At 43.3% G+C, this 14,394-nt stretch overlaps 1 long non-coding RNA gene, 1 other non-coding gene and 1 pseudogene across 2 annotated transcripts, besides 3 other annotated features; 2 read left to right on the top strand and 1 right to left on the bottom strand.

Annotated features, from left to right (window-relative positions):
* Positions 1 to 2,306: 2,306 nt before the first annotated feature.
* On the bottom strand, positions 2,307 to 3,097 carry HCG14 (HLA complex group 14). The gene is made up of 2 exons (NR_104117.1): positions 2,897 to 3,097; positions 2,307 to 2,516 (listed from the first exon to the last, which is right to left on the bottom strand). It is a non-coding gene; the product is annotated as an HLA complex group 14 (long non-coding RNA).
* Positions 2,785 to 3,420: an enhancer, noted in NCBI's record as "H3K27ac hESC enhancer chr6:28863984-28864619 (GRCh37/hg19 assembly coordinates)". NCBI's record gives its function as "activates a minimal SCP1, AML or CMV promoter by ChIP-STARR-seq in naive H9 embryonic stem cells {active_cell/tissue: H9 hESC(naive)}" and the evidence as "EXISTENCE:reporter gene assay evidence [ECO:0000049][PMID:30033119]".
* On the top strand, positions 3,299 to 3,404 carry TRL-CAA1-1 (tRNA-Leu (anticodon CAA) 1-1). Its single transcript has 2 exons — positions 3,299 to 3,336; positions 3,360 to 3,404. It is a non-coding gene; the product is annotated as a tRNA-Leu (tRNA).
* Positions 3,831 to 3,994: a silencer, noted in NCBI's record as "fragment chr6:28863410-28863573 (GRCh37/hg19 assembly coordinates)". NCBI's record gives its function as "represses an EF-1alpha promoter that drives an FKBP-Casp9 reporter gene in an ReSE screen in K562 erythroleukemia cells {active_cell/tissue: K562}" and the evidence as "EXISTENCE:reporter gene assay evidence [ECO:0000049][PMID:32094911]".
* Positions 4,056 to 4,692: an enhancer, noted in NCBI's record as "H3K27ac hESC enhancer chr6:28862712-28863348 (GRCh37/hg19 assembly coordinates)". NCBI's record gives its function as "activates a minimal SCP1, AML or CMV promoter by ChIP-STARR-seq in primed H9 embryonic stem cells {active_cell/tissue: H9 hESC(primed)}" and the evidence as "EXISTENCE:reporter gene assay evidence [ECO:0000049][PMID:30033119]".
* Positions 9,993 to 10,646, top strand: ZNF90P2 (zinc finger protein 90 pseudogene 2; annotated as a pseudogene).

Here is a 14,394-nt window from a genome sequence, read left to right as displayed (position 1 = left end):
CTGAGACAGGAGAATTGCTGGAACCCAGGAGGCGGAGGTTGCAGTGAGCCAAGATTGCACCACTGCACTCCAGCCTGGGCAGCAGAGCAAGACTCCATCTCAAAAAAAACCAAAACAAACCCATAAAATCAAGACATCAGGAGTTTAACATGCCATAAAGGAAGAAAGAAAAAATACGGCACAGCCGGGCGCGGTGGCTCACGCCTGTAATCCCAGCACCTTGGGAGGCCCAGGCACGCAGATTACGAGGTCAGGAGTTCAAGACCAGCCTGGCCAACATAGTGAAAAACCCCATTTCTACTAAAAATACAAAAATTAACTGGGCATGGTGGCACGAGCCTGTAGTCCCAGCTACTTGGGAGGCTGAGGCAGGAAAATTGCTTGAACCTGGGAGGCAGAGCTTGAAGCAAGCCGAGATTGCGCCACTGCACACCAACCCGGGTGACAGTGCGAGACTCCGTCTCATTAAAAAAAAAGATGGCACAAAAAATGACCAGGATTAGAAGTGAATCTATAGTATGAAAACTACGAGGACACTAAATGTGGGCCACAGTTGGGTTTTAAAAATTGACATGGGAACATTGTTAATTGTATAGCTTCTAGTTTCTGTAAGATGGAAGTAACTAAATGTTTAAGGGACATAATGGGATTCTTGTTAATAAGAGATAGGAATTTCTGCTTGGGTTCTTGGTAAATAGAAACTGTATCCCAAGAGTTTACTTTTCATAAAATAAGTCTTACAAATCAATAAGGAAAGATGGACACCTCATAAAAATTTGGTAAGCAATTTACTGAGGAAGGAGTATAAAAATCCTTTAAACATGAATATTGGACCTCACTAATAATCAAATCAGAAAAAAAAGGGGGGGCGCTATATCATTTGTTACCTATTAAAATGTGCCAGGAGCGGTGGGTCACGCCTGTAATCCCAGCACTTTGGGAGGCCGAGGCGGGCACATCATTTGAGGTCAGGAGTTTGAGACCAGCCTGACCAACATGGTGAAACCCTGTTTCTACTAAAAATACAAAAAAAAATTAGCTGAGTGTGATGGCTCATGCGTGTAGTTCCAGCTACTCGGGAGGCTGAGACGAGAATCACTTGAACCTGGGAGATAGGTTGCTGTGAGCTAAGATCATGCCACTGCACTCCAGCCTGGGCAACAGAGCAAAACTCCGTCAAAACAAACAAACAAAAACTGGATAAACATTGATGTAGGCCGGGCGCGGTGGCTCACGCCTGTAATCCCAGCACTTTGGGAGGCTGAGGCGGGCGGATCAAGAGGTCAGGAGTTCGAGACCAGCCTGACCAACATAGTGAAACCCCGTCTCTACTAAAAATACAAAAATTAGCCGGGCGTCGTGACGGGCGCCTATAGTCCCAGCTACTCGGGAGGCTGAGGCAAGAGAATGGTGTGAACCCGAGAGGTGGAAGTTGCAGTGAGCCAAGTCGTGCTACTGCACTCCACCCTGGGTGACAGAGCGAGACTCCGTCTCAAAAAAAAAAAAAAAAAAAAAAAATTTGATGTAATGGTTTCACTTTTAGAAATTTAAGGAAATAATCGTGGATGTTTGAAAATATTTATGTAAGGATAGTTTTTACAGCATTGCTGATGAAAATAAAAAATTAGAAATAATCCAGTTTTCAAGAATACCACTTTGATATGGAATATGTGCAGGAATTAAGATTTATGCAAAATATAGTACTTAGCAAGTATATATTCATAATATATTCATTTAGAAAGCAAGTTAGCAAATTATTTACTACACATGACCATTTTTGGAAAATGTATACCATATGAAAGACTAAATATATAAAAATGTTAATAGTTACCTCTGACTAGTGAGATTATGGATGATTTTAATTTTTGACATGTTTGTATGTTCTACAATTTGTGTGTACTTTGCAATTAGAAAAAAATAATTATAGTTAGGGTAAGATTACAGTTGCCATGTTGGGAATCACTTCCTGGACAATTTCCTTCCAATCGAAAGAAAATATACAAATCTCATGTATTGGAGGGAGACTGGGGAACCAGTGTTCACTGTACTTCTCACTACTAATTTTCTCTCTATCAAAAATAGGATATGAAACCAAGGAAGTCTGTGGAAATTAAGATAGAGCCTACTGAAACTCAGTTATTTCTCCATGCAGAAAAGAGACCTAACTTTGCCTTACAAAAAGGAAATTTTTTTTATATTAACAAATACAAAAAGTAAGCTATTAGGACAAAATCTAATTAAAATATCCAACTTTATATTTCCTCTATCTGAACCTCACAGCCCCAAATACAAGAGTTAAGACGGTTGAGTTAAAATGTATTTATTGAACCTCTACCGTGTTTGCCAGGCACTGTTACCTGGACGGCATTGGTCTACACATGTTATTTTAGCGGTGTCGCTGGCCTCTAGGGGCTCTTGTTCTAGTGGGAGGGATGATTTCTGTTTAGTTTCAGGGCTCCATTAAAATTTGTGACCTTGGGGCTTCCCGGCCTGGAGCTCAGATTGCTTGGCGAAGGCTGAGAAACAGAAAAGTGGATCAGGCGATGTGGTGCACTCCCCTTAAAAACTACCGCTGTGTTCCCCGACCTGGCAGTGGTCACTTGGAGCCCATTAATCGGGAACATCCGAGAGCGACAAGGAAGGCCGCGGGCGAGCGCGTCGCTCGCGGAGTTTCCCCGGACCTGGGATCGCCGATCCCTCGGCGCGGACACCAGCCTTGCCCATGTGGTGGTCCCTGTGGAGACCTTCCCAGCCGTTCCCGGCTACCACTTTTAGAGCCCAAGACAAACTTCGACGAGTGGCAAGGCAGTGACAAATGGAACCAAAATAGAGGGGCTAAAAGGGGACCTTCCTATAGAACCGGGGTCTTTTGTTAGGGTTTTGTTTTGTTCCTCACCATCTTCCAAACAATGAAGTCCTGGGGGAGGCTAACCACGATCAAGATTTCAGTAAACATCAGACACTGGAGAGCCGACCCAGCGACCGAAGAAGCAAAAGATCTTCTTTCCTTCCTGAAATCTGGGCAGGCTGGGAGCAAAAAAAAAAAAAAAAAAAACCCGCACACGTTTTTCGAGATGGCGATAACAGTTATAAGGCCCGTAAGAGACTTGATCCAGTTTTATGCAGAAACATTTTCTAGTCCTGCGAACCCTTTTGCTTTTTCAATCCACAAGTGGCTTTCTGCCCTTCTGTTACCAAGCAACCCTGACGTCATCGCGTTTCTGCGTGCGTGCACGACACAGAATCATTGCTTGTTGATCTCTATTTTAGTGCAAAAATCAGGGCTGTTATGCAGTGTGTCAGGATGGCCGAGTGGTCTAAGGCGCCAGACTCAAGCTAAGCTTCCTCCGCGGTGGGGATTCTGGTCTCCAATGGAGGCGTGGGTTCGAATCCCACTTCTGACACATACTTTTCTTTTTCCTCTCCTTACTTTAGAGATATCCTGATCTCAGCAGTAGGCATAAACAATTACCAACGTATATTTTTAAGAATCGGCTTTTAGGTACCGGGCGCGGTGGCTCACGCCTGTAATCCTAGCACTTTGGGAGGCCGAGACGGGTGGATCACGAGGTCAGGAGATCGAGACCATTCTGGCTAACACGGTGAAACCTCGTCTCTACTAAAAATACAAAAAAAATAGCTGGGCGTGGTGGCGGGCGCCTGTAGTCCCAGCTACTCGGGAATGAGGCAGGAGAATGGCGTGAACCCGGGAGGCGGAGCGTGCAGTGAGCCAAGATCGCGCCACTGCACTCCAGCCTGGGGACAGAGCGACACTCCGTCTCAAAAAAAAAAAAAAAAAAAAAGAATTGGCTTTTAAATTTATCTCAAAGGGCTTGTCCAAACTAAAAACATTAAAAGCGGAAGCATCGCGATATTTTTACGAAGCCGCGAGATTTGGGCCAAAAAACGCCTAATTAAAGGCAGAGGTTACTAGCGATTGGTCTCTGTGCTGCAGTGCGAGATAATCCTGATGTCGCGGGATTCGGAACGCAGATAGCTTCCTGCCTCGCCGAGGGAATGGAGAGAAGGGGCTCTGGGCGGGTTCTTTTCCCGCTTCTCGACCAGGCTCACACTCTGTGTCTCAGATCCAAGCCCTCCCCTAGATATTTCCTGGAGCACTTTCCTACCAATCTCACAACGCTGTGGCTCGTGACAGTGCAGTCTCTTTAAAAATCTTACACAGGTCCTCTGCTCTCCTATTTTCAAAACTCATGTAACCAGTTCTCAAAAATGTCTTTCGTAAATTATGCACATTCACACTCGTTTTGGCATCTGATCATTACCGTTTTGTCAGTCAAAATTGAGTACCATTTTAACCATTGAATGAAATATGAAAGCTGTACGTTCCTCTCGCAAATGTAATCACCGTGAAAAATTTATTGTATTTTTTACATTTCTTTTTTCTCTGCATTCGCATATATATATAACATTTTGTTTTTTTTTTTTAACAGAAATGTAGTCATGCTATGACATTTTTCACTTAATATATCTTGGGTTCTTTCCATGTGGAACACTTATTCTTTTCTTTTACAGAAGAAATATTGCTGGCCGGGTGCAGTGGCTCAGGCCTGTAATCCCAGCACTTTGGGAGGCCGAGGCGGGCGGATCACGAGGTCAGGAGATTGAGACCATCTTGGCTAACACAGTGAAACCCCGTCTCTACTAAAAATATTAAAAAATACAAAAAATTAGCCGGGTGTGGTGGTGGGTGCTTGTAGTCCCAGCTACTCGGGAGGCTGAGGTAGAAGAATCGCCTAAACCCGGGAGGCGGAGCTTGCAGTGAGCCCACATTGCCCGCTGCACTCCAGCCTGGGCAACAGAGTGAGACTCCGTCTCAAAAAAAATAATTAATAAATAAATAAATAAATAAATAAATAAATAAATAAATAAAACCCTATGGTAGGCCCGGAGTGGTGGCTCACGCCTGTAATCCCAGCACTTTGGGAGGCCGAGGCAGGTGGATCACTTGAGGTCAGGAGTTCGAGACCAGCCTGGCCAACATGGTGAAACCCTGTCTCTACTAAAAACACAAAAATTAGCTGAGTGTGGTGGCAGATGCCTGTAATCCCAGCTACTCAGGAGGCTGAGGCAGGAAAATCACTTGAACCCGGGAGGTGGAGGTTGCAGTGAGCCAAGATTGCACCACTGCACTCCAGCCTGGGCAACAGAGTGAGACTCTGTCACAGGAAAAAACAAAAAACAAAAAAACAAAAACACAAAAACCGTATGGTAAAATTTAAATTTTAAGGTGGTACTTTAGAACACTAGTGTTCCATCTTCTCAGTTTGCTGGCTTTCGGATTAAAAGCAGCTTTTCCTCCCACCAAACCTCCCCTCTAGCATTTGGCTTTGGAGCGGTGAGCAGCAGAATCTGGGTCAGGTTACGCTTTTTTCTCTTCAGTCCCATTAACTCTGGAATCCTAGGTGCCCTCTGCATACTTGGACTCCAAAAACCACTTTCTCCAACAAGAAAACAAAGTAAACTGCAGATTATATAATAGGAGATTTTAAATTCATTTCAAAATTCACTATGGAAGATATGGTTTCTCATCTGGAATCCATCCTGCTTGTCTGGATTTACCTTACTTCTCCCTGCATTGCTCACATTTCTGATTCTTTCATGGAACAGAGTACGTTATCCTCTAAAAGCTTTCACCAAACTGATGGAATTTTCTATTTCTCGCCCCCTACCCCCACCTACTGCTTTTCAAAGTAAAATGGCATTTATCTGTAAGGCGGGATGAAGTTAATATCTGTTAAACCCCCATTTATTTCCAGAAGCTTCCAAAGTCAGCCCAACCTCCCAAGGTTACTTAGCTCTCTAATAAAACAAAAGGTGAACTCCCTGAAAGAATTCTCCTGCAGAATTCTATTATAGCGTTAGAGGAAAAAGCACTGCCACTGTGTAAAATTGTGTAGATTTGGGGTAAAAGGCCAAGGTACTTTCCAGTTTCAATTTTCTTGACTGTCCTGCTGGGCACGGTGGTTTACACCTATAATCCCAGCACTTGGGTGAGGCTGAGGAGGGAGGATCACATGAGGCGAGGAGTTCAAGACCAGCCTGGGCTTGTCTCCAACCCCTCATCCCAACCCCGCCCCCACCCCCACAAATGCTCAACTGCAGTTGAACTGAATTAAATTGCGTTTCTTTCCTTCCTTCCTTCCTTCTTTCCTTCCTTTCTTCCTTCTTTCTCTCTCTCTTTCCCTCCCTTCCTTCTCTCCTTTCTTCCTTCTGTCTCTCTTTCTCTCTCTCTCTCTCTCTCTTTCTTTCTTGAGACAGAGTCTTGCTGTATCACCCAGGCTAAAGTTCAATGGCGCTGTCTTGGCTCACTGCAACCACTGCCTCGCAGGTTCAAAGGATTCTCCTGCCTCAGACTCCCGAGTAGCTGGGACTACAAGCGTGCACCACCACACCTGGCTAATTTTTATATTTTTTAGTAGAGACAGGGTTTCACCATGTTGACGAGGCTGGTCTCGAACTCCTGACCTTGAGTGATTCGCCCACCTCAGCCTCCCAAAGTGGTGATCCTGGGTTTTAAGCAGAATAGGGGACATACCACTACCCACTTATCGAATGTATTCTAAATAAGTTTTCTTATCCTAAATTTTTTTATATTCCAATACTGGAAACTTTTATTTACAGAAGCCATGTATTCTATACTCTATATGTAGAATACATGGTTCATTAAGGCCAAGATAATTTCCCATTTTGTGTATATCATTACTTATACTACTCATTAAAATAATCTTCAGTGCGGAGAGATTATCTCTTTTCCTCTGCTAAAGACACAATAATCTTTCATTCAGACAAATAAGACATTACATAAGACCTACCTAGTTACATAAAAACAAAGTAACTACACTAGTACTCCTGTCTGTTAAAGGACTATCAGATAAGTCACTGCGGTTATCTGTACATAACAATGCACAATCATCCTAATAATTACTAGTGAATGCCTTTTCTAGATAGAAGAAGCTGAAGATATAAAATCTAAATCTAAATTCGAATGTTAACTTTTGTCTCAACTGACAGAATACCGTACATTGACCAAATAAAGGATTTTATTGAATCACTAAATTTTTACCAGCTTTATTGAGATATAATTTACACACCATTCAATTCAATTCAATCACTTTTAGAATATTCAGAGTTGTGCAAACATTATCACCATCAGTGTTAGAACATTTTTATCACCTCAAGGTAAAAAAAAATACTCCTTAGCAGTCACTCCCCATCTCTCAGCCTCCCCCAACCTGCAGGCAACCGACAATCTATTTTCTATAATTTTTTTTCTTTTCCTTCCTTCCTTCCTTCCTTCCTTCCTTTTTATACAGGGTCTCACTCTGTCACTCAGGCTGGAGTGCAGTAGCACAATCATAGCTCACTGCAGCCTTGACCACCCTGGACTCAGGCGATTCCAATATTGGAATATAAAATATTTTAGGATAAGAAAACTTATTTAGAATATGTTCAATAAGTGGGTAGTGGTATGTCCTCTATTCTGGTTAAAACCCAGGATCACCACTTTGGGAGGCTGAGGTGGGCGAATCACTTGAGCTCAGGAGTTCGAGACCAGCCTGGCCAACATGGTGAAACCCTGTCTCTACCAGAAAATACAAAAATTAGCTGGGTGTGGCGGTGCGTGCCTGTAGTCCCAGCTACTCGAGGGGGCGAAGGTGGGAGAATCACTTAAACCCGGGAGGTGTAAGTTGCTGTGAGCCGAGATCACACCAGTGCACTCCAGCCTAGGCAACAGAGACCTTTTGTCTAAATCAATCAATCAATCAATCAATCAATCAATCCCAGGAGTGCAGTGGCGCGATCTCGGCTTTCTGCAACCTCTGCCTCCCCGGTTCAAACGATTCTCCTGCCTAAGTCTTCCGAGTAGCTGGGAGGCCCGTGCCACCACGCCCGGCTAATTTTTGTATTTTTAGTAGAGACGGGTTTTCACAATGTTGGCCAGGCCTGTCTTGAGCTCCTGACCGCAAGAGATTTGTCTGCCTTGGCCTCCAAAGGGCTGGGATTACAGGCGTGAGCCACCGTGCCCGGCCAGTCTTGTCCATTTTCTCCTTGAAGACCATCTTTCACACTGTCACTATAGTGACTTGCATAAAACTGAAAGCTAATATTACACACACCTTCTTTTTTTTTTTTGAGACGGATTCTCGCTCTGTCACCAGGCTGGAGTGCAGTGAGGCGATCTCGGCTCACTGCAAGCTCCGCCTCCTGGGTTCACGCCATTCTCCTGCCTCAGCCTCCTGAGTAGCTGGGACTACAGGCGCCTGCCACCACGCCCGGCTAATTTTTTGTATTTTTAGTAGAGACAGGGTTTCACTGTGTTAGCCAGGATGGTCTAGATCTCCTGACCTCGTGATCCACCAGCGTCAGCCTCCCAAAGTGGTGGGATTACAGGCGTGAGCCACCGTGCCTGGCCTACACACATTCTTAGCATCTGTTAATGGTTCAATTCATTATCCTGGCAACAAGACTGTTCATGATGTAGCTTACATTTTCAGCTTTATCTCCTTTCGCCTTCATATTCAATCTGTGTTCCAGCTAGACCAAACTGTTCTCAACTGTCTGAAAGTACCATTTTAAAAGTGCCTTAATAACTTTGTATGTATATACTTTCCATCTAGAAAGCTTTTACTGCCTTCCCTTTTTCTGACTATTTGTATTTATGTTTTAAGATACGCCAATCAACCATTCCGCTGCAAAACTTTCTGTTTGATTCTCTCAGGCAGTTAGATGTTTCCTTCTTTGCACTCCCAAAGCTCTTATGCTTCACTCTTATAGTATTTACCACACTGCCTTGTAACTGAAGGACATCTCTAGGTTGTGGCCTTCAAGAGGGCATCTTATTCGTCTTTATACCAGGTATATAGCAAGGAACTACTATACACAAGACTTGCTACAAAGCTACTTACATGACATTTTAATAACCAAGAAAGAATTTGTAGAAATAGCAAGTAACATTTCTTAATCCTTTTCAATTTAAGATAAGCAACATGTTGGGATACTGAGATGTGACAACAATGGTAACAATAGCAACTCACACTTAATAATGCTTACAGTGTGTCAGACACAGTTTTGTGTGCTTTCATAACCCTTTGAGGTTGCAACTGTTGTCCATGTTTTGTAGGCAAAGATACAGATGCACAAAGTTATGTGACTTGCCTAAGGTCATATAGCCAACAAGATAGGAAACACTGAAACTAGAGTTTAGTGTGAATTTGTTTGTGTTCAAATCCTTCATTTACAGCTAAATTTGCAAATCTGTTGAAGGAAAGGGAAATAGAACTTACTGCTCTTATTTAGCAGTGAAATTTAAATAATTTTTTGTTGTTTTATTTCAGAAGGTGAGTGTAGGTTTATTTATTATTTTTGAGACAGAGTCTTGCTCTGTTGCACAGGCTGGAGTGCAATAGCACAATCACTGCAGCCTTGACCTCTTGGTTCAAGCAATCCTCCCATCTCAGCCTCCTGAGTAGCTGGGACTACAGGTACACACCACCATGAGCAGCTTTTTTTTTTTTTTTTTTTTTTTTTTTTAGAGATGGGGTCTCATGATGTTGCCTAGCTTGGTCTCAAACTCCTGGGTTCAAGTGATCCTCCTACCTCAGCCTCCCAAAATGCTGGGATTACAGGTATGAGCCACCATGCCTGGACTGAGTATAGGTTTAGAAAGCTAAGCATGACTTCAGGGTTCCAAAAAGTACTGAAGAAGTAGCATCTCACTCACTGTTCCTGGGAAGATGGAAAAGTGATGATCCCTTAAATCCTGCAATTGAAAACATTTGTGACCCTGAGGGCAGGTATGAGAGGCACTAAGAAAATCCTTTGTTGGTGAGACAGAGAACATTTTCACCCCAGGAAAAAGAGATCATAGAGAAGTCATGAAAACTGTACTGAACAAAATACTTATGGGAAAGAGGGGTTGTAAAAGTGATGAATGTAGACAGTTCTTCACTAAGAAATCAAATCTTATTCAACAGCAAAGGATCCACACTGAAGAGAGACCCTGTAAATACAAAGTTTGTGGCAAGCCTTCAGTGGGAACACTAGCCTCTATCTCCAGAAGATCCACACTGGGGAGAACCCTTATAAGTGTGATGAGCATAGAAGGGCCTTCACTGTGAAAGCCTGCATTATAGAAGCTGTATTTTCACAGACACTATGAATGTGATCAGTGTGGCAAGACTTTCATTTGGAGCTCAGATCTTAGTAAACATCAGAGGCTTCATACTGGAGGGAAATCCACAAGCGTAATGTATGCAATAAGACCTTCAGAATTCTGACCATCTCAAACATCAGAGAATACATACTGGAGAGAAACCCTACAAATATCTTATGCATGGGAAAGCTTTTAATCAGAGCCCACTCTTTCTTAAGCATCATAGAGTACACACTGAGAGAAACCTTATCACTTTAAGGAATGTGGAGAAAGCTTTAGTCACAATGGAGGCCTGACATCGTATGAGAGACTGCACACAAGAGAGAAGTCTTATAAAAGTAAAGTATTTGGGGAAGTCTGCATTGAGAGCTCACACTTCATTAACTATCCCAACATTCATACAGGGGAAAGACTTCCTCATTGCCCTGAATATGGAAAATGCTTTACTCAAAATGAAGGTCTTATTTCCCATCAGAACCTTTTTAGACATTAAAAAGAAAACCCATATCAGAGAAAAAAGATATATACCTCTGATGAATGTGTGTAAAACTTTGTGTTTCTCTAGTAATTGACCTTTAGAGAGTAGATATAGAAGGGAAATATTTTGAATATAACAATTTTGAAATGTTTGAATGGCAGCTTCTTGCCTCACTTAACTTTAGTAAATTTGTCAAGAGCATGCCCAGGAAATGGGTTGGCTAGAACTTGTTTTAGCAGAAATAAATGTGTTTTCAGTCATTATCCTCCTTAAGGAAAGGGTCAGTCTCACCCAGTGACCAGTTCTAAGTTCCCGACTCTTAGATGGGAAATGAAGAGTATTTTGTGTGAGCCTGTAGATGTTTGAAAACTTTGATATTCAGAGGGTAGGCGAAATGGTCACTCACTCCTGAGACTTCCTTTGTGAAAACAGAGCTTTGTAATATTTGTGATTCCCTGCTCTCTCTTTCAGGAAAAGATGCTCACTATATCCAATAAAGCTTATAAAATACTGGGTATCAGTTGAAAGGTATTAAGACATCAATTGTCGGCTGGGTGCAGTGGTTCACACCTGTAATCACAGCATTTTGAGAGGCTGAGGCAGGAGGATCACTTGAGTCGAAGAGTTCGAGACCAGCCTGGGCAACATAGTGAGACCCTTGTCTCTACAAAAAATAAATTAGCTAGGCGTGGTGGTGCAGGCCTGTAATCCTGGCTACTTGGGAGGCTGAGGTGGGAGAATCACTTGAGCCCAGGAGGAATAGGTTGCAGTGAGCTGTGTTCATGCCACTGCACTCCAGCCTGGGCAACAGAGTGAGACCCCTCCTCAAAAAACTAAAACTAAAACTAAAATAAAAATTAAAAAAGAAATAAATTGTTTTCTTGTCTCTGTTCAAAACCTGGACCACTATGTGTAGTCCTATTCCCAGACTGTCACACAGATCTAGTGATGTTGGTACAAATTGAGAGAAAGGGAACCAGATGGTTCTTCCTCATCTTTGTATGCATGTAGCTGGCATAGTGATTGGCATTTGCATTCCATAAATGTTTATTGAAATGAGTTAAATTAAAATAAATAGAATTAAATCCTGGACTTATATAGTGTACTTGCTGAAATTCAGTTTTAAGAAGTGGCATAAAGTGAAAACAAAAGTATTTTAAACTTATGTAGAAATATTGACGAGATGGCTAAAATGGAAATCTCTGATCTTTTGAAGATGTATATGTAATTCATGAGTTGATATGTAGGAGGGCATTGCTTCCTCCCACAGCTTCAGAATCATACAGTAATAGACTGGGGGGATCATAGGCCTGACCAAGTGGGACTATTGTTAAGTTATGCTCTTAAATAAAGAAAAAAAAAGTAACATCAGTTCTTTAAGTACTTTGTTCTAACAATGTAATTATTGTGTTCTGTCTAAAACTATGATACAGTGTTAAACTTCTCAAGGTTTCCTTTGTCTACGAGCTACAGTCCAGTGTTGTTCCCCGTCTTTTTGTGACATGGCCTGTCTTCACTTACTGTGGAAACAAACTAACATATGCTTCTTTTTTATTTATTTATTTATTTTGCGACGGAGTTTCGCTCTGTCACCCAGGCTGGAGTGCAGTGGTGCGATCTCGGCTCACTGCAAGCTCCGCCCCTCCAGGTTTAAGCAATTCTCCGCCTCTGGAGTAGCTGGGATTACAGGCGCGTGCCACCATGCCAGGCTAATTTTTTGTATTTTTAGTAGAGACGGGGTTTCACCATCTTGGCCAGGCTGGTCTTGAACTCCTGACCTCGTGATCCACCTGCCTCAGCCTCTAAGTGCTGGGATTACAGGCGTGAGCCACCGCGCCTGGCCTGCTTCTTTTAAAAGGAAACTCTGAGATAAAAAATACGAAGTTCTCTTCAAAAAAGCAATCAGCTTTTCATTAAAGGGAAACTATGGAGTACAACACTTGAGTTTTTTTTTTTTTTTTTTTTTGAGATGGAGTCTCACTGTTGCCCAGGCTGGAGTGCAATGGCGAGATTTCAGCTCATTGCAACCTTCCCCTCCCTGCCTCAGTCTCCCAAGCAGCTGGGACTGGGACTACAGGCGCCCACCACTACACCCAGTTAATTTTTTTATTTTTAGTAGAGATGGGGTTTCACCGTGTTAGCCAGGATAGTCATGATCTCCTGGCCCCGTGATCCACCCGCCTCGGCCTCCTAAAGTGCTGGGATTACAGGTGTTAGCTACCGTGCCTGGCCCCACTTGAGCCTTAAAATACTTTATTTGGGCACTGAATAAAATTTATCTGTGCTAATTCTTTACCTGTACTAACACGCAGTAGTCTTTAGCCAGGGCATTGCTACCTACTACGATGTATTTGGGTACACTTATGGTTCTCACAATGACCAGGTTATGGCATGTTCATTTTTATGGGTGGGGTTCAGGCATTATAAACATTATAGTATACATATATGTTGTAGTATGTAGCATAAATACAACAGGTACAACTATTAGAAATCTCCACGCATCCAGGAACCGTGGCTCAACACCTGTGATCCTAATGTGCCAAGGAATTGGTGGGTTCTTGATCTCACTGACTTCAAGAATGAAGCCATGGACCCTGGCCGTGAGTGTGGCAGTTCTGAAGAGCAGTGTGTGGGGAATTTGTTCATTCTGATGTTTGCATATGTTCAGAGTTTCATTCCATTCAGGTGGGTTCGTGGTTTCGCTGACTCGGGAAAGCTACCAATCTTGGCAGTAACTGTTACAGCTCTTAAGACGGTGTGTCTGGAGTCATTGGTTCCTCTCAGTGAGTTTATGGTCTCCTTGGCTTCAGGAATGAAACTGCAGACTTTCACAGCAATTATCACAGCCCACAAAGGCAATGCGCATGCAAAAACCGAGCAGCAGCAGGAATCATTGCAAACAGCAAAAAAAACAAACCTTCCACAATGTGGAGAAAGCATTAACCAAACAGCCACCACCGTTCAGGCAGCCTGCTTTTATACTCTTATCTGGCCCCACCCACATCCTGCTGATTGGTCCATTTTACAGAGAGCTGATTGGTCCGTTTTGGCAGGGTACTGATTGGTGCGTTTACAATCCCTGAGCGAGACGCAGAAGTTCTCCAAGTCCCCACTAGATTAGCTAGATACAGAGTGTGATTGGTGTATTTACAAACCCTGAGCTAGACGCAAAGTGTATTTACAAACCTTGAGCTAAATACAGGGTACTGACTGGTGTATTTACAATCCCTTAGCTAGACATAAACATTCTCCAAGTCCCCACCAGGTTAACTAGTTACAGAGTGCTGACTGGTGCATTCATAAACCCTGAACTAGACACAAGGTGCTGATTGGTGTGTTTACAAACCTTGAGCTAGATACAGAGTGCTGATTAGGTGCATTCACAAACCCTTAGCTACAAGACATAAAGATTCTCCAAGTCCCCACCAGGTTAGCTAGATACAGAGTGCCGATTGGTGTATTCACACTCCTTACCTAAAGATTCTCCAAGTCCCCACCAGGTTAGCTAGATAGAGTGCTGATTGGTGCATCCACAAACCATGAGCTAGTGCGGATTGGTGTCTTGAGCGCGGGTAGTGAGGAGCTTATCATCTGGGCCAGCAGCTGCGGAGGGGGCGCCAGGTCCCCCAGCACTGCCCGTCCGCCCGCGCTGCGGTCGAATTCTCGCCGGGCCTCAGCCGCCTCCTCATGGGGCAGGGCACGGGACCTGCAGTTCGCCATGCCCCAGCCCGCCCCCGACCCT

The sequence above is a fragment of the Homo sapiens genome, chromosome 6 (assembly GCF_000001405.40).
Source record: "Homo sapiens chromosome 6, GRCh38.p14 Primary Assembly".
In the NCBI taxonomy this organism is placed as follows: Eukaryota; Metazoa; Chordata; class Mammalia; order Primates; family Hominidae; genus Homo; species Homo sapiens.
This window is presented reverse-complemented; position numbering and strand designations above follow the sequence as displayed.